This window comes from Homo sapiens, chromosome 4 (genome assembly GCF_000001405.40).
Source record: "Homo sapiens chromosome 4, GRCh38.p14 Primary Assembly".
Lineage (NCBI taxonomy): Eukaryota > Metazoa > Chordata > Mammalia > Primates > Hominidae > Homo > Homo sapiens.
Genome location: NC_000004.12, coordinates 184,078,844 through 184,098,710, shown reverse-complemented (window position 1 = coordinate 184,098,710; position 19,867 = coordinate 184,078,844). Strand labels below are relative to the sequence as shown.

At 44.9% G+C, this 19,867-nt stretch overlaps 1 protein-coding gene and 1 long non-coding RNA gene across 2 annotated transcripts in view; one reads left to right on the top strand and one right to left on the bottom strand.

Moving 5' to 3' along the window:
- The window catches only part of ENPP6 (ectonucleotide pyrophosphatase/phosphodiesterase 6), a 129,168-nt gene extending 119,163 nt beyond the window's left edge, over window positions 1–10,005 (top strand). The window contains exons 7-8 of the mRNA NM_153343.4: window positions 1,343–1,466; window positions 7,329–10,005. Of these exons, the coding sequence (NP_699174.1) occupies window positions 1,343–1,466; window positions 7,329–7,534 (330 nt within the window). The 3' untranslated portion in view covers window positions 7,535–10,005. The remainder of the gene's footprint in view (window positions 1–1,342; window positions 1,467–7,328) is intronic.
- LOC124900826 (uncharacterized) lies at window positions 5,476–19,302 on the bottom strand. Its single transcript, XR_007058415.1, has 2 exons — window positions 17,276–19,302; window positions 5,476–6,614 (listed from the first exon to the last, which is right to left on the bottom strand). It is a non-coding gene; the product is annotated as an uncharacterized LOC124900826 (long non-coding RNA).
- Window positions 19,303–19,867: the final 565 nt, after the last annotated feature.

Genomic DNA, 19,867 nt, shown 5'->3' with positions numbered 1-19,867 from the left:
TTCATAGCAAGTGATCAGCTGTAGTCTAAGAAAATTGGGTTCCAAAGAAAAGAAGTGTGTCGGGAAGTGATGGTTCCGGAACCCATCCCAAAGGAAGAGTGGTTGAGGGAAATTAAGGTCTGTGAAGCCTGGACAAGGGGAGCAAAGGTGCCATCTTCCAGTGTGCTCATTAACGGAGGAGAGGAGGCTGGCTTGGAGTTGCTCCCAAGGGCAGGGCCAGAAGGAAGAAAGGCAGGGTGGGCTGCATGGGAAAGGGAGTTGGGATTTGCTGAGGAGACCCTTCTGGGTCCGGCTGCTTTGCTAGGAAATGTGATTAGATAGATACTGGTTCCCTAAGATTCTCCATCAACTGGATATCCCGCCATTCGGTTCAATGCTGACAACAATACCTGGAGTTAGAGTGGGCCTCACAGGTCAAGGGGCTCCATCCCACAGGACAGCCCCCACTCAGAGGCCAGCCACAAGTCCCAGGTCCCCAGGCTGCCGGCACCTGCGTGTGATTTGGCTACATTCGAGGGGTCACATGACCCTACTTCAGGTTTGATCACTCACTAGGACAAATCACTGAACTCAGGAAAGCACACTATATTTAAGATGGCTGTTTTATTGTAATGGATGGCCCTTAGAGAGGCACCACATAGAGAGGCCCGTGGGAAAGAAAGCATGGGAGGTGAGGCACGCAGAGCTTCCACTCCCGAGGGGCTCCGGAACCGCACGCCCCGTGGGCTTCACGTGGGGCTTCATCGCGCAGACGTGAGTGAGGAAATCATGGGTCAGGTGATTGGACTCAAGTCTCCAGCTCCTCTTCCCTCCCCCGGTCTGGTTCCTCTGGTGGCCAGTCCCCACCCTGAAGCTGTCTAGCCCCCAGCCCCAGGACCCCTCTCAGTAGCATTAACTCAGGTGTGGGAGAAAGTAGCTCCTTATGAATGAAAAGCGAAAGACATTCTTATCCTCAGGAAATTGTACCCCTGGTTTTAGGAGCTCTAGGTTAGAAACCTGGGACAAAGACCAAATACATTTTTATGACACCGCAGATACACTTTAACATCCCTTCTGCCACTAACTTACTATATTTAGTGGCTCTAAAACTGATTACGGGAGACAATTCAGCCCCACGTAGGAAAACACCTTGTTAACCACAGCGCTTAGCAATCGAATAGGCTGCTGCCCGAGGTCTGAGCGGCCTGGAGCAGGAAGTGCCGCAGCGGAGGTTGGGTCAGTCTGGGTCAGTCGGAGCGCAGAGGAGGAAAGCGCCCCCCGGTGGAGTGGCGGCTTGGAGCAGATGCCCGCTCAGCGCCACGGTCAGGACGTAGTGTCATGTGTCTGCCTTGCTTGGTTTCAGAATCGAGAGATGCTTCCGTTTTGGATGAACAGCACCGGCAGGCGGGAAGGTTGGCAGCGTGGATGGCACGGCTACGACAACGAGCTCATGGACATGCGGGGCATCTTCCTGGCCTTCGGACCTGGTAGGCGAGGAAATGACCAGATGCTCTCAGACCCCATTCCCAAGGAAGTGTCTGTAAGGGGGGCTACGGGTGCCAGGAGAGGCTGCAGGGATTTCCTTACAGACCCTCTTTATGAGCCAAGCAGAGCAAACCCAGCCGGTCTCCATGAAACATCTTTTGCTGGCTTCCTTTCAAATGCTTCTTGGGTTTGGCAAATGTAGCCAAATACTTTGCCTTGTAAATTTTAAATCCTGAGTGCAGTGAAGAAAATGTATTCCACATGTTTGTGATTCATTTTTTACCTAATTCATCAAAATGTTATTTCATAGCTATCTGATGTCCAGGAAAGCTTACTGGACACCAGGTTGCTGACCGCTGTGAGTCTCACTGTTGATGCGATCGCTTCTCGGGGTCTGGCTCTTCCACGGTCCTTCCCGTCTCGAGCACCCACCTCAGAGAGGCTCATTTAGTTTAGAGTCCAGCCAGAAGCTGGGATGTGCTCAAGGGCACTCGCGGAAATGACCTTGAGCCTGACTTTGAGAATGAGCCAGAATGACGAGGGTTGCCTTGCATGAGAGCAAATTTGCTGTGTCTTTCTTGACCAGATTAATTCCTAGGGCTGGAGGAGAGGAGAGATGGAGAGGGCCTATCTGGTCATTTGATTTAACAGATGGATCCCTGCCAATTCATACTTTGGAAAAGTTTGCCAAACACTCTGAAGATCTTACTGCTACCTGAACACCCTCTTCTCCCAAAAACAAAAATTAAAAAGGGAGAAAAATCATCCAACAGCCATCAACCATCAGTTGACTGGTTCATGAGCTATCCTTCTTTCTTAGCACAGTCCGTCCTCCTGCACTAAATATAAGCAGCTTACCCTGATACCTGTATTCTGAATGCCTTTTTCTAGATGTTGGTCAAAATGTTTCAGCCCACAAAAGTCCATGTTTGCCTTTCAAATTATAGGTTACACATCACATCTACAAGCTCTGCTCATCTCTTCAATTTAGTAAGATCAAAGACGTATGCCAGCATCCCTCATTCAGCCTACCATCGTTCACTCTACTTTCCACAAAATCCCTTTTAGGAACTATGAGGTGTCAGTTTCTGCAACCTCCGTGGGTGCCTGAGCTTAGGAAACACATTAGTCCAAATCCCTTTCCACATGTGATCCAGGTTCCCAAGTCCTCAAGGGAGCATTAGAAGCAGTAGCAGCAAATTCATGGAGCACTAATAGGGTTCATGATGTTGGCCTAAGAGAGGGTTCTGAAGATGCCTGAACATGCTACCTTTAACCAGTGATAGTTATCAGGTGCTCCCTGTCAGCCGAGCCCCAGGTCAGATATGCAGAGCCCCAAAGCTAAAGGAATTAGGAATGGAGCACCCCGAGGGTAACTACTGGATTACATTGGATACATTCCAGGGCCATGGTCTTTCTTTGTGAGAACATTAGTCAGCAAGGCTTTCATTCAAAAGCATGGCACCCTCCATTCCCAGATGAGGGAAATAGGATCATGAATGCAAAGCAGTGGTCTGGGAAGGACTATATACAAGTGAGAGTCTCAGGAATATATATATCTATATATATATATAGATATATTTTTTTTTTTTGAGACAGTTTCTTGTCACCCAGTCTGGAGTGCAATGGTGCCATCTCAGCTCACTGCAACCTCCACCTCCTGGGTTCAAACAATTCTCTTGCCTTAGCCACCTCAATAGCTGGGATTCCTGGAGCCCACCACCACGCCTGGCTAATTTTTATATTTTTCTTAGAGATGGGGTTTCACCATATTGGCCAGGCTGGTCTCAAACTCCTGACCTCAGGTGATCTGCCTGTCTCAGCCTCCCAAAGTGCTGGAATTTCAGACGTGAGCCACCACGCCCAGCCGAGTCTCAGGAATATTTTAAAGCAGAACCAAATCTAGCCCCAAACCCCAAATTTTAAACAAGGTCCCCAAAGCTGCATTAGCTTAAAGTTAAAATTTGGTGAAGAGATTCTGTCCATTAACAGAGGCCTCCATCACAGGTTCCTGTAACACTAAAAGCGCCCAGTCTTTTACAGACAGATAGATGACCCCTGATGAAAATGGACTGCGCTAATTGCAAAATGTTTCCAGGCAGATACAGCGTGGAGAGCCTCCCGCAAACCATCACGTTCTGGCTCCAGTTCTCATGAAAGATTAAACAGCTTTACACACTGGCTGTTTACTGAGAAGAAAATTTAAGAGCAAGGCCTTTAATAGCTATCTGGCTGCACTTTGAGATAAAGGTGCATCCCTCCTGATTAACTGTATGTGCTTCTCCCTTAGGGGGAAAGCTGGGCATCATTGCGGCTGCCCAGATGCAGCCTCAGAAGTCAGTGAGTCTGGTCCAGCAAAGAGAAAGGGAAGTAATTCTGCAGGAGAGCCTCACTCTTGTTAATCCCAGTTTCTAATTTGAACAGTCTAATCTTGCCCTGGAGAACTCCACGTTTGAGATAAGACAGCAGGAGTGGGAGTCAGTGAGCTGCCTGCGAGCTAGCAAGCCCCACTGGGAAGGCAGCCCCAGGTGGCCAGCCACAGTGTAAGCCTGCAGAACCTCCTCTCTGTAAGAGACACACCTCTCATATCCAAAAAAATGTAAACACGCGAGGATAACTTGGACTCTCTGTCCATGTCTGAAATGCCATCTTCAGCTAGTAGAGCCTGTCTGGGTCCTCAGTTGGATCAGGCATTGTTTTGCTCTTCAGGAATTTTCTAAAAGCTTTCTCATTCCAGCCTGGATTATTTCTGCACTGAGCCCAAAGCACTATCCCTGCGCAGCAGGAGGCCACGAACTAGGTGGGATGGGAAAGAAATCTCAATCCTCCTTTATGCTTAAATGCACAGAATTCGATTTCATATTTCCAGTGTAAAAAGATAATATTTTCTAATACTTTTGTCAGAAGAATTTGATCTCAGTTTTTCCTGTGAAGTGTTAAAGAAGAGGATTTTTGTTTTGTTTTGTTTTTTAGAGATGGTCTTTCTCTGTCATCGAGGCTGGAGTGCAGTGGCATGATGGCTTACTTGTAGCCTCCATCTCCTGGGTTCAAGAGATCCTCCTGCCTCAGCCTCCTGAGTAGTTGGGACTACAGGCACACACCACCGCACCTAGCTAATTTTTTATTTTTGCAGAGTTGAGGTCTTGCCATATTGCCCAGGCTGGTCTTGCACTCCTCAGCCTCAAGCCATCCTCCTGCCTCAGCCTCCCAAAGTGCTTGGATTACAGGTGTGAGCCATAGTGCCCAGCCACAAATGGATATTTGAAAGCCTGTGGGACACCTGGGCTTACTCTGGTCCACTGCCTCACATGCCCTCCCACCCACACACAGCAAGGCATGGCCCCATGTGGCAGTAGAATTATCACATCCAGGTCACATGAGAAGAAGATAGAAGAGTTGCTTCCATGCCGCTGGAACAACCATTCCACTGGATTCTCGTGCTGCACTTGATTCCTCGGATAGGGAAGTGTAACTACCATCCTCATCTGATTGTCTGATCTGCCTGAGAGGGGCTGGGATACTGGGGCAGCCCTTTCTTTCTCCTCTCTGGACAGGTTTTACATTATTATTATTATTATTATTATTATTATTATTATTATTATTATTTTGAGACAGAGTCTTGCTCTGTTGCCCAGGCTGGAGTGCAATGGCACGATCTTGGTTCCCTGCAACCTCCGCCTCCTGGATTCAAGCAATTCTCCTGCCTCAGCCTCCTGAGTAGCTGAGATTACAGACACCTGCCACCACACCCAGCTAATTTTTGTAAATTTTGTAGAGACGGGGTTTCACCATGTTGGCCAGGCTGGTCTTGAACTCCTGACTTCATGTGATCTGCCCACCTCGGCCTCCCAAAGTGCTGGGATTACAGGTGTGAGCCACTGTGCCTGGCCAGGTTTTACATTTTTTAAAACTAATTTTTACTCTGAGGAGAAGCTGACCCTTATCCTCCATGCCCCTGAAGAAAAGTAAACCCTCCAGATAATTTAGAAAGTGAATATATTCAAACCACAATTTGTCCTTGTCATAAATATTTATTAATAATAGTAGTGACCATTTACTGGGTATACACAGTGTTCCAGGAACGATGACTTTCTATGCCTATTTCCGGAGGTCACCCAGCTAGTGCATGCTGGGTGCAGGCTGGCGGTAGAGCCCACACACCTCTTTATATTGGATTCAACTTTAATTCTCCAAAGGGAGCAAAACGTGCTATTTGGGCAGTTGCCCTGGATCTAACATACTATGTGGCAGAAGTATCTATATTTAGCTTTTTTCCAATTTATAATTCCAGGATAAATAGAGGAGCAGAATTTGGTGTTGATACCTCTGCAATATATTGCTGTGTGTTGTTGTTTGTTTGCTTTTTAACTAAAGTATTTAGGATTCTTTAGCAAAGCAATTACAAAGATTATTTCTAATATCTTAAAAAACTTGGCTTTACGGCCCCCAAACAACTCATTTCCTTCAAAAGTTGTAGGGGAACTAGAAAGCACAGGCACAGGCCTTTATCAATGGCTTAAATCTCCTCCCTGAATTCAACCTTAATGTAGCATTGGGTATTTTGTTACAAGCTCTGGTTTGGGGCCTAAAAGTGAAGTTGCTTTTGTGTATTACTAAAATCTTACATTCACTCTTTAAATGGACAAGTGCTTTGAATTCTGCCTCTCATCTGCCCGCTGTAGAGAAGAAGAAATCCCTTGATTGAAATCCCTCCAAAGACTTGTGGAGTCACCCTCGGCGTCCCTCACTCACCGTGCTGCGTGTGGCCACCCTACCTGTGTGTTCTTGCGTGACTCTCGAGCTTGGGGCCACTCTGGGCAGAGGCACAGTGGTCTTCTCCATTAGATCGCTCAGAGCCTGCACATGGATCCCTGATTCAGATACCAGTTTGCTCATTTTCCACATGGCTAATGTATTTTATCTGTTGGTAAAATGCTCCCAAAGAGTGTTCCACTCATCTTCCAAATGTATTTAGGAAACCATCGCCATGGCTGCTGAGCTAGCGAGCACCGAGAAAACTGCAGTTTCACATTCCATCAAGACCTGTGACCTCGATGGGGCAGCAAAGTGAGAAAACATTCTTGAGTTGCCGTGCGGCCTCTGCAGTAGACGCTGGCACTCTGGCTGTCGGTCCGGGCTAGATAGATGTTCTGAAAAATGACATAGCATTTAATTTGGTTAAGGGCAAGACAGTCACTCTGTGACCATACAGGCTCTGCTGTGCTCTCTGCAGACATGGAGCAGCATCAGATGGCACTTCAGCCTCCCCGCAGCCCCCAAAGAAAGTGCTGTTGTCACAAAGAGAGCACAGTTATGCACAAAGAAAGTCTGTTTGCTGATTACCTTTTTTTGAGACAGGATCTTGCTCTCTTGCCCAGGCTGGAGTACAGTGGCACTATCATGGCTCACTGCAGCCTTGAACTCCTGGGCTTAAGTGATCTCCTTACCTCAGCCTTCCGAGTAGCTGGGAGCACACCACCATGCCTGGTTTAAAAAATTTTTTTTAGAGATAGTGTCTTGCTCTGTCATCCAGGCTGGTCTCAAACTCCTGGGCTCAGGCAATCCTCCCTCCTCGCCCTCCCAACTTGCTGAGACTACAGGTGTGAGCCCCCAAGCCTGGCTCTGCTGCTTGTCTTTTAAAGAAATTCATCTCCATGAGCCATAGAAAGCTGTTTCCCTTTCTAACCTACAGCCTTCCGGATACCCTTCTATGTTCACACTCACTAGGCCACACCCCACTGATGGAGCTGATTCCCTAATCTCAATGTCACCTGCAGCCTGAATGTAATTCTTCTTTATTGCGTTCAGCCCACCTCTGCCCTGGAGCTGCCATGACAACTTGTTTGTTTGCCTTTCCCTTTCAGATTTCAAATCCAACTTCAGAGCTGCTCCTATCAGGTCGGTGGACGTCTACAATGTCATGTGCAATGTGGTGGGCATCACCCCGCTGCCCAACAACGGATCCTGGTCCAGGGTGATGTGCATGCTGAAGGGCCGCGCCAGCACTGCCCCGCCTGTCTGGCCCAGCCACTGTGCCCTGGCACTGATTCTTCTCTTCCTGCTTGCATAACTGATCATATTGCTTGTCTCAGAAAAAAACACCATCAGCAAAGTGGGCCTCCAAAGCCAGATGATTTTCATTTTATGTGTGAATAATAGCTTCATTAACACAATCAAGACCATGCACATTGTAAATACATTATTCTTGGATAATTCTATACATAAAAGTTCCTACTTGTTAAAAAAGATACAAACCTTGTTTTTCCAGAAGGTAGGAAAATCCTAGCTTTCCATTTGTGCAGTTATATGTCATTTTCTCCTTTCTTTTCACGTTACTCAGGATGAACTCTCTGAGCAGGGACCTGCTCCTGCAGCAACCAAACTTGGAGTGGTTATTGCAGACAGACGTGGCTCTGGGCCCCTCTCTGTCCCACCTTGCACAAAGGACCCCCTCAGACCAGGCCCTTGTCTGTGCCCTGTCCACACCCAGGAGCCATCCTCAGTGTCTGTGGCCACAATCCTGTACTGTTCCTTCCATCCCTGATAAAAGGAGGTCTACATGAAAGCAAAAGCTACTGTCTATTTCTGACCCAGCTCATGGAATTTTTTCATCTTATACTGAGCTCCAGAAAGGACGTAACTTAGCATGGATCACCAATCAATCAAAAAATAAATAAATCACTAAGGATTGGAGAACTCATAGAACAAGGTGAAAGACATGAGTGCCCTCCCAAAGTCTGAGTGCACGAAAATTTCTCTCTTGCCTTGAGGAGCAGAAAAGCTTCTGATGGACATGGGCTTCTGTGAGACTTATCACACATAGTGTATCGTGGCATGAAGCCCGGCACATAGCAGGCCCTGCATATTGATGGACAAATGGATGGCCTGCCTGCCTTCCCTGTCCGTTCACCTGTGCAAAGGCTTCCTCAGACATGCCACTCTGTGGCTCCCAATATAGGGTGCAGACAAGAGCAATCCCTGACATGACATTATAGCCTGGGAAAGGGCTGGCTCACTGATGAGAATGTGGAGGCATCAGCAAGGATCTCGGTGGGTTGCTCAGAGAGGTGATGCACTAAGCCTTAATCCTGGACACCAGTACCCCTGCAGCATGGCTTGCTCAACAACAGTCTTTGAGTGGCATAGAATTCCAAAGAAAATGGTGCTGGGTGGAGAATGGAGAGAGCATGATGGAGCAGAGTCCCAGTCACTGACCAACTAACTGGTCGTTTGATTAGGAAACAGTTTGGCCAAAGTACCACCTTTGAGACCTAAGTTCTTTTGATACCTTTGAGAAGAGCCACTGAGCCTGAGTTGAAATATTTTTAGCTTAGTCATCTGTGTTTGCTATAGGAGAAATTGTAACACAAGAAATAACTCCTTTTTACATGATCATTTATATCTATATACATATATATACTTGCATACACTATCACTGCATTAAAAAATGAGTTTGGGCTGGGCATGGTGGCTCACACCTATAATCCCAACACTTTCGGAGGCCAAGGAGGGACAAACGAACCCTTGAGGCCAGGAGTTCCAGACTAACTTGGGCAACACAGGGCGACCCCCATCTCTACAAAACATAAAAGATTTTTAAAAAATTAGCCAGGCATGGTGGCACATGCCTGTGGTCTCAGCTACTTGGGAGGCTGAGGCAGGAGAATCATTTGAGCCCAGGAGGTCAAGGCTGCAGTGAGCTTTGATCACACCACTGCACTCCAGCCTGGGCAACAGAGCAAGACCCCATCCTCCACCCCCCCCAAAAAATAGAAAGAAAAAAAAAGTTTGCACTAATTGAGGTACATCTGCAAGTGAGACTTTTTGTCAGGAAAAGGCAATATATCAGGTCTCCTCAGGACGATGGAGGCCTTATATGGTGTGTTACCTTGAAAACTGAATATCAACGTTCACCTTGATTCAGGAAAGCTGGGTGCTGTCTCCATGCCATGAATCATGAGAGCAAAGGATCACTGCTTAAAAATACTGAATTTACCTTCACAAAAGATTTCTAAAGATTTATGTAATGTGTTTTAAAAGCGCCAGTAAACCATCGGATCAATTGGAAAGAAGGCAACTCTTCAGCCTTTGTTATCTAGCTGAAAACAAATGACAACTTTCAAAACATTGGCAGTAGTTGTTGAAAAAGACGTCTATTGTTCAAAGTTTCTTTCTCCTTAAAGGACGGTGTTCCAATGAATTCAGTAGAGCCCACTTTCCTCCACTGTGGAGGAAGAATCCCTAAGAGATACTCAAATGATTAAATTAAAATTGGATCATCAAACTCAAGAGAGGCATAAACTTAGACACAGTCTTGCATTTTTGTCTTTCCTGAACTCTTCTGCCATTTTCCTCCTTCACTCGTCCTGAAAATCTGCAAGTTACATAATAAAACTTTAGATATTTGTCTGACAAAGTGTAATTACTCAACTGAATAAATGACTGAGAACAAGTTACAAAAGGAATCATGAATCCTGGTAAACAATAAAGAAGATTCAGACACTGAGGGAAAAAAATAAAGCTTTTTACTTAAATAATGCATATATTTTTTATGGCTTAATTATTTGGTGAAAATTTGTTCCCTTTTATTTTTGTTTTAAAATTACATTGTTCTCCTTAGGAAAATTCCACTTTCTCTAAATGTATTTTTTTCCATAGGACTAAAATCTGCTAGGAATATGTATAGACACTTTGTCTCCTGGATTACTTTTCAACTTCACGGCTGATTCCAGGACAAAGATAATTGGGTTGGTCTACCGAGGACAAATGAAAGGAATGAGCCTCAGATTAAAGATGAGATGACTTTTTAATAATCGCCATTCTGACTGGCATGAGATGGTATCTCATTGCGGTTTTGATTTGCAGTTCTCTAATGAACAGTGATAATGAACTTTTTTTCATATGCTTCTTGGCTTCATAAGTGTCTTCTTTTGAGAAGTGTCTGTTCATATCCTTTGCCCAGTTTTTGATGGTGTTGTTTTTTCTTGTAAATTTGTTTACGTTCCTTGTAGATTCTGATATTAGACCTTTGTCAGATAGGTAGATTGTAGAAATTTTCTTCCATTCTGTAGGTTGCCTGTTCACTCTGATGATAATTTCTTTTGCTGTGCAGAAGCTCTTTAGTTTAATTAGATCTCATTTGTCAATTTTAGGTTTTGTTGCCATTGCTTTTGGTGTTTTAGTCATGAGGTTTTTGCCCATGCCTATGTCCTGAATGGTATTGCCTGGGTTTTCTTCTAGGGTTTTTATGGTTTTGGTTTTACCTTTAAGTCTTTAATCTATCTTGAGTTAATTTTTGCATAAGGTGTAAGGAAGGGATCCAGTTTCAGCTTTCTGCACATGGCTAGCCAGTTTTCTCAGCATAATTTATTAAGTAGGGAATCTTTCCCCATGGCATGTTTTTGTCAGCTCTGTTGAAGATCAGATGGTTGTAGATGTGCAGTGTTATTTCTGAGGTCTCTGTTCTGTTCCATTGGTCTATATATCTGTTTTGGTACCAGTACCATGCTGTTTTGGTTACTGTAGCCTTGTAATATAGTTTCAAGTCAGATAGCATGATACCTCCAGCTTTGTTCTTTTTGCTTACAATTGTCTTGGCTATACGGGCTCTTTTTGGACGATTATTAAAAAGTCAGGAAACAATAGATGCTGGCGAGGCTGTGGAGAAATAAAATGCTTTTACACTGATGGTGGGACTGTAAATTAGTTCAACCATTGTGGAAGACAATGTGGCAATTCCTCAAGGATCTAGAACCAGAAATACCATTTGGCCCAGCAATCCCATTACCGGGTATATACCCAAAAGATTATAAATCATTCTACTATAAAGACACATACACACATAGGTTTATTGCAGCACTATTTACAATGTCAAAGACTTAGAACCAACCCACATGTCCATCAATGACAGATTGGATAAAGAAGATGTGGCACATATATACCATGTGATACTATGCAGCCATAAAAAAGAATGAGATCATGTCCTTTGCAGGGACACGGATGAAGCTAGAAGCCATCGTTCTCAGAAAATTAACACAGGAACAGAAAACCAAATACTGCATGTTTTCACTCATAAGTGGGAGTTGAACAATGAGAACACATGGACACAGGGAGGAGAACGGCACACACCGAGCCTTGTTGGGGTAAGTGGTAGGAGGCAGGGGGAGGGAGAGCCTTAGGACAAATACCTAATGCACGCAGGGCTTAAAACCTAGATGATGGATTGATAGGTGCAGCAAACTACCATGGCACATGTAACAAACCTGCACGTTCTGCACATGTATCCCCGAACTTAAAGTAAACAAACAAAAAAAAAAGACAAAATAATAATAATAATAAAGATGAGATGAGTGACCACTCTTCCTGTCCATATGCCTAATCTCTGGAATCCAATTCAATTAAGTTGTGAGGATCTAAGCATCAACTAGATCTGGCCCAGGGGATTCCTTTTAGCCTCCAACAGTCCTCACTTATAAGGTCCTAGTTTCCTTTACTTTTAAAGGGACCTTGGGAGTCCACCTCAGAGCCGAGTTCATCATAGACAGTAGTTTGCAAACTTCCTGGGCTTTTAAGCCTCATCTGACCCACCTCCAGAGATGCAGGTTCAGAGGGTCTGGGGTGGTCCTGAGATAGCACCTTGAAGTCACCTGGACCCAAGGCTTGGGTTTGCTCTGATAAGAGGTGGGTTCTGACTTGATCCTGTAGACCCAATTCTCCTGAAAGCTATTTCATCATCAGCCCATATCTCTAGGGGCCTCGGCTGGGTCAAGTGTTCAGTCCTTCTAAACCAAAGTAGATCTGCAGCCCCAGTGGTGGAGGGAGGACCCACAATAGGCAGACTCAGTTTCTCCACATCCCACTCCCTGTGGCTCTGAGATCCCCAACGGTGCTACAAGACACACTCAGGCATTATTCAAGACTCACAGCTATTTTATGAATTTTCCAAGAAAGTGCTTTGCACTTCTGTAAATAGCAAGAGATTTCCAAGTGTGATTGTGGGTTTTATCTTTGTAAGCAATTTGTGATAGACCAAAGTCAGCTACTGTAAATGACTTGCTAGAAAAAAGGAAGGAGGTAGCCTCAACAGACTTGTTATAAAACATTTAAAACTTGGTCTCAGGTGCGTGCTATGGAAAATATACTCGTATGTTGCTGTGAAATCATAAAGTAGCACCTAGTACAGTGCCTCAAATGTTTAATACACGTCCCGTAAATATGTGTTGAATAAAAAATGAATCAATGTCATTAAGGGGACTTGCTCAAACCTCAGATATCCTCTCTGCCTGCAGTTTCTCAAATTAAATGAACTTTTCACTTTTGCCTTGCTCTCTTTTCTTATTACCCAACTAACAATATAATTACGCTTTATTTCATGGATCTAAACATATTCTATCTCAGGCTTATAAATTAAGCATGGGGGAGGAAGGAAGGAAGGAAGGAAAGAAGGAAGGAACTGGGGGCGGGGAGGAGGGAATTACATTTTAAATATACTATGCATATTAACTTTTTAAAAATATAGCGCTTTATTGAGATTGAATTCACACACCATACAATTCATCCATTTGAAGTGTACAATTCAACAGCTTTTAGTGTATTCACTGAGTTGTGCAACTATCACAAACTTTAGAACATTTTTATCACTCCAAAAAGAAACTCCAAACCCATTAGTACACTAGCAGTTACCCCCATTTCCTCCCACTACCACCCCAGGCAACCACGAAACTGCTTTCTGGCTCTACAGATTTGCCTGTTCTGGACACTTCATAGAATAACACAATATGTTGTCCTTTGCAGATGGCTTCTTACACTTAGCATAATGGTTTCAAGGTTATAGCATGAATCAGTACTTCATTCCTTTCATTTACAAAGAATTATTCCATTGTATGGATATACTTCATTTTATTTGTTCGTTCACCTATGGACAGACATTAGTTTTTCTCACTTTTTTGATTTTCATCATGTGTTTCATTCATGAACACATTTTTGTGGACCCGTTTTCATTTCTCTTGGGTCTGTCACTAGGAGTGGAACTTCTGGGTCAGATGGTAACTTTATGCTAAACTTTTGAGGAACTATCAGACTATTTTCCAACTTGGCTGCCCCATTTTGCATTCCCACAAACAGTGTAGGAGAGTTCGAATTTCTCTACATCCTTGCCAACATTTGGTACTAGCTGTCCTTAATGACAACCATCCTAGTGAGTGTGAAGTGATATTTCACGGTGGGTTTGTTTGCAGTTTCCCAGTAATGAGTCAGGTTGAGCATCTTCTCATGTGCTTATTGGCATTTGTCTATCTTTGCTGGAGAAATTCTATTCAAATCCTTTCCCATGTTTTTTTGTTTGTTTTGTTTTCTATATAGGTAAACTCGTGTCAGGGGTGGTGGGTGGTGGTCTGAACAGCTTTTTTCATCACCCAGGTATTAAGCTCAGTGCCCATTAGTTGTTTTTCTTGATCCTCTCCCTCCTCTCACCCTCCATCCTCCAAACAGCCCCAGTGTTTTGTTTTTCCCCTCTTCATATCCATGTGTTCTCATCATTGAGCTCCCACTTGTAAATGAGAACATGCAGTATTTGGTTTTCTGTTCCTGTGTTAGTTTGCTAAGAATAATAACCTCCAGCTTCTTCCATGTTCCCGCAAAAGGCATGATCTCATTCTTTTTTATGGCTGCATAGTATTCCATGGTGTGTATGTACCAGATTTTCTTTATTCAATCTCTCATTGATGGGCATTTAGGTTGATTCCACATCTTTGCTATTGTGAATAGTGGTGCGATGAACATTCACATGCATGTGTCTTTATGGTGGAACAATTTATTTTACTCTGGTTATATACCCAGTAATGGGATTGCTGGGTCCAATGGTCGGTCTGCTTTTAGCTCTTTGAACTTTCTCATTTTTTAATTGGATTATTTGTCTTTTGAGTTGTAAGCATTCTTTATACATTCTGCATACCAGTCCTTTATTAGATATATGGTTTGCAAATATTTTTCTCCTTCTGTGAGCTTTCTTTTCACTTTCTTGATGGCGTCCTTTGAAGCAGAAAATGTTTAAACTTTTGATGATGTCTAACATCGGTTTTCTCTTTTGTCAGTTCTGCTTTTTGTGTCATATCTAAAAAGGCTTTGCCTAAGCCCAGATTATCATGAAGATTTACTCCCTTAATTTCTCCTAAGAGTGATAAAGTTTTAACTCTTATGTTTAGGTCTGTGATCCACTTTGAGTTAATTTTTGTGTTAGGTGTGTGGAAAGAGCATGACTTCATTCTTCTCCATGTAGATATCCAGCTGTCCCCGCAATACTTGCTGCAAAGCATGTCTGCTTTTTAGAGAAATGTTTAAATTATTCTGTTGACCAAAACTTATTTAAAAACAAAAATCCAAATCACTTCAGAAATTTAAATTTTGTATTTCTGGTTACACAATACTCGGTATGGAACACTAAAATGAGTATCCCATAAATTCAAGGAGAAATATCTTCTATAGAAGGTGAGCCCTAATGTTCTTGAAAACAGCTCCATCACCTGGAAGCACTGCAGAGGACCCTACCTTAGGATTCTGCACCATCTTCCAGCTGAGCCTGTGTTGAGGCCCCATTTCCACCACCATCCCTGGGACAGCCCGAGTCCAGTCTCTATCCAGCTTCACCACCCAAGTTCACCCAGGCTGTCCCAGAGCACTCTTATGGCCTCACCCTAGAAGCCAGTAACAGCCCCACAAGCCCCTTCTCCCCAGTACCCCAACTAGAAGTTCCACCTTATCATTCCACTTATCATTATGCAGTGACCTCCTATCAGGCTTCCTTGAGATCTTAAGGTTTCAGGTCATTCTCCTCTCTTCCACCCAAGGGGTTTTCTAACATGCAAGTCAGGCCAGGCCATTCCTTGGCTCTAAACTCTTCAGTGAGCGTCCATGGTCTCGACTTAACACTTTCAGCAGGGTTAACCAGGCCTGGCATGTGTAGGTCTGTCAGCCTGTTCAATGAGCGAATGATGATTTATTTTACTTGCATTTTATTGCATTCCTCACCCCCTGCCCTATTGTTATCCACCCCTCTACCCCACTCCACTTCCACTTTTTTTTTTTTTTTGAGATGGAGTCTCGCTCTGTTACCCAGGCTGGAGTGCAGTGGCACCATCTCGGTTCACTGCAACCTCCGCCTCCTGGGTTCAAGCAATTCTCCTGCCTCAGCCTCCTGAGTAGCTGGAATTACAGGCGCACACCCCCCACCCAGATAATTTTTGTCTTTTTAGTTGGCCAGGCTGGTCTCGAACTCCTCCTGACCTCAGGTGATCTGCCTACCTCGGCCTCCCGAAATTCTGGGGTTACAGGCGTGAGCCACCACACCTGGCCCACTTCCACTATTTAAAGTCTCTGCTTCAACATTTTAATCTAAACTCTGACCTTCTTATTTAACCCCATTTTCCCTCAATTACTTCACTTTTGTTTCCCTTTAGCACTGGGTAATGCTGTGGTTCACAATTATCTTTATTTCTATTTCCTTGCATTCATACACATTTTACTTTGCATGAAGTTTATTGCATGCTAAATATGCAAATAATTCTGTTTTTCTTCTCTGTCTCATAGTTTCCTTGAAAACAGTAAGCTAGCTTGTTTTCTCTCTTTTTAGGATGTCGGGGTCTGAGGGACCCTAATAATTGCCACCCCTGCATCCTAACTAATTTGAAAACTCATGGAGGTAGACACAGGGTATGGCAGATGGAGAGTAAAATATCCTCTTTCTTAAAACAAAGCTGATGGATACTGGAGAATATGGTTTGTAATACCTCACCTCTGAATTACACACGGTTGCCCACCAAGGCCTTGCACCTGTGAGACTCAGAGAACAGAGGAGCAGGAGACACTGTGAGCTCTGTGTGCACAGCTGGCCCTTCAGAGAGAAGCAGGAAAGGGGCTCCTTCTGAAGCTCCCCAATAAGGTAAATCACTTCTCCTCTACTGGGGAGACGAGGGTGTGAAGAGTGGAGAAAGGCCAGAGGTGGGAAACGTAGCAAACGTCCCTGAAAATAAAGTGGTGCTTGAAGTGGAGGCCCCGCCCCCTGCCTGCTTCCCACGGAGCTTCATTGGCCCTGGGAATACGACCTCCATGCACATTCCTGGCTCAGAGGACTAGAAGGTGCAAGGCCCAGAAGCAGCTTCCATCACTGTGAGACCTACTGTTGAAGGATCCAGCAAAGGCAAGATCTGAACAAGGCTCAACAGCAATGGGAAGCTGGTGGGTGTGGAAACTGTTAACAGTTGTTTATGGATGAACCACAGGCTCACCCTGGAGAACTGCAGTGTGGCCACAGTGCCTTCATGGTGACACATCCCAGGCTCTGCAAAGACAAGGGTTACGCTTGGGCGTGTGGGCTAGTTGAGGGTCTGAATTTGATTGATCAAATTCAGCGCTCTATTTCTGCATGGGATGAGCAGCTCTGCTTCTCACACCAAAATAATTCAAGGCTAGTAGAGTAAAACATCTTGTAGAGGGCTTTCAGACAACATCACGTATATCTGCATTCTTCTGCAGCCTTTCAGTGAAAAGTTTACGTTGGCCACTTGCAGTAGTTTGCCCTGAATCCTGAACTTAAATGCACCGGACACAGATTTCTGTAGTTCATTTTCAAGTCTTAGAATTAAGGATTTAACAAATGGTATACAAATATATGTAACTCTCACACACTAATATAAAATAATATGAAACTACTTTTGATTGCTTGGGGAAAAAAATCCAGTCATTTTTTTCATAGTTGCCTGATATGTATTAATAGAACCCGGCCCAGGAATGATTAAAGGCAGAAGTCTGTTCATACCTTAAGTAGGAAACACCAGCCTCTGGTTCACCAGGTGACAGCCAGGATGACAGCTGCTCATTTTGTTGAATACTGAACTCTACCTGCAGGTTATGATGTCTCATAGTCCTCATACGAGGGGTGGGGGTTGGCAGTTGAGAAACTGGATAGGACTCTTTACTGTAACCACGCATTAACGATGGTGCTTGTAATTTGTGTGGGAACCATGATCTTCAAGATCCTTCCTTCATTCTCATATATATGCTGCGTGTCACCAAGTAAAAAAACTATGGAGAGAGGTAGCATCTCCCCCAGTTATTTGGGGGGTTATACAAAACAACCACATTTATGTCCATGTTTCACGTTGCATCTCAGCCTTCGTCCCTCATGGCTGGTGAGTACTCCAAGAGTCCCGGGCCAGAATGCAGCTTCTTTGCCTGCTGTCACTGTCTGGGTCCCTGTGGCCTTGGTCTGGCAGGAGGAGCTGTCCAGAGGTCCATTCATAGGTGTCAGCCGTCCCACCTCCGCCAAACAGAGGCCATTTGTTACACATTCTCCATATTGACAAAGGGAGACGAGTTGTTGAGAGTCCAAGGATTGAAATCAGAAGCAGGAGGCAGGCAGGGAGGCACACGGAGTGTCAGGCCAGAAGGCCCAAGGGGAAGAAGGGTGTGATGGCAGCCTGAGGCCATGCCACCTTTCGAGGAAAGCCACGAAGAGGAAGAAGGCACAAACACACAGCTGTCCTGGGGTGGTTCCCTGAGTGCGGAATGCCTGCTCCAGTGTGTTTCTTTCCTGTACCACCCAGGGTGCTCACTGGACCAGGAGAAGTTCCATCACATTGGTGGTTCCAGGGGCCACCAGGACAGCTCAGGAGGACTCCTGGCCTGATCCACTGTCAGGGCCCCCAGCACTACTGCAATCCATCCCGCAACTCCCCTTCATCTCCCCTCCCACAGACCACCCATCCTTGCTTCTGTATTTGTCATCCTGCTGTGCTCAGATTCGGGGCACTCCAAGCTGAGCTCCACAGTTTTGCCATAAGCCCTTGTCCATAGGCATGATCCTATAAGATGACATTTTCCCAGTCATGCATCTTAGTTTACATCTTGGCAAAAAGAAAAATGATGACTTTCCTTTCTCTTAAAACTATGTTTTAATCATGTAATTGCCAGAAGAGTCCATGATGCCCTTGGCAAGTTTAAAACACAAACAATTGTATTTGATCAGAGCTGTCTGGCTTACTCATCTCTCCACATCCAGATCCTGAAGCAGCATCAGCACACAGCAGGCCCTCAAACACTGAAAGAATGCATGAATCTAGCCCTTAGAAAACGGTGTGCTGACTGTGTAATATAATTATTTGAAGTTCTGGAGCTGCTTCCGGAATAACCTGCCCCATGTGGAAGGAGTCCCTCCAAAGAAGCTTCAGACCTGTAGATACAGAAGAAGAGCACACACAGCACGCTTTGTTAGTTAAGCTGCGGCCCTCCCAAAAGATATGTTCCCATCCTTACCCCTGGTAAGGTACTTGTGAATGTGAGTTTATTTGGAAATAGGGTTTGTGCAGATATAATCCAATTAAGATGAGGTCACAGTGGATTAGGGTGGAACCTCATCCAATGACTGGTGTCCTTAAAGGAGAGGGAAATGTGGACTCAGTGACACAGAGAAGAAGGCAGGGAAGTGACAGACACAGACTGGAGCAGTGCAGCTGCCAGCAGAGGAATACCAAGGCTTGCCAGCAACCACCAGACGCTGGGGAGGTGCAAGGAGGGAGTCTCCACTCGAGCCTTCGGATGACTCGTGACCCTGTGACACTTTGATTTCTGTGGCTTAAAGCTGCCCAGCTTGTGGTCGTTTGTTATCACGGCCGCAGGAGGCTAACACACCCTTCCAATTATTCAGGAGTCAATCCAGCTCATCAAAGATTTTTTTGAGTCAGGGTCTCACTCTGTCGCCTTGTCCCTTCCTAGCTTCTAGTGGTTGCTGGCAAGCCACGGCTGCCATAACAAACTACCACAAACTACCACTTGCCCAGAGGCTGGAGTGCAGGAGTGTGATCACAGCTCACTGCAGCCTCCGACTCCTGGATTCAGGCCATCCTCCCACTTCAACCTCCTGAGTAGCTGGAACTACAGGCACACTACCACACCCGTCTAATTTTTAAATTTCCTGTAAAGATGGGGTCTCACTATGTTTCCCAGGCTGATGTTGAATTTCTGGCCTCAGGGGATCCTTCCACCTCAGCCTCCTTAAGTGCTGGGATTACAGGCGTGAGCCCACTGCGCCTGGCCTCATCAAAAATCTATGGAATTCCTCCTTCACATCAGTTACTGTACTGTATTCTGGGGATACACAGAAGAGAAAAATATGGTTACTGTCCTCAAAGAACTTACACTATCATTGCATTCTTCCATTTTTGTTTTGATTTTTGTCTTTTTTTGAGATGGAGTTTTGCTCTTGTTCCCCAGGCTGTAGTGCTATGGTACAGTCTCGGCTCACTGCAACCTCCGCCTGTGGGTTCAAGCGATTCTCTTATGGCAGCCTCCCAAGTAGCTGAGATTACAGGTGCCTGCCACCACGGCTGGCTAATTTTTGTAATTTTAGTAG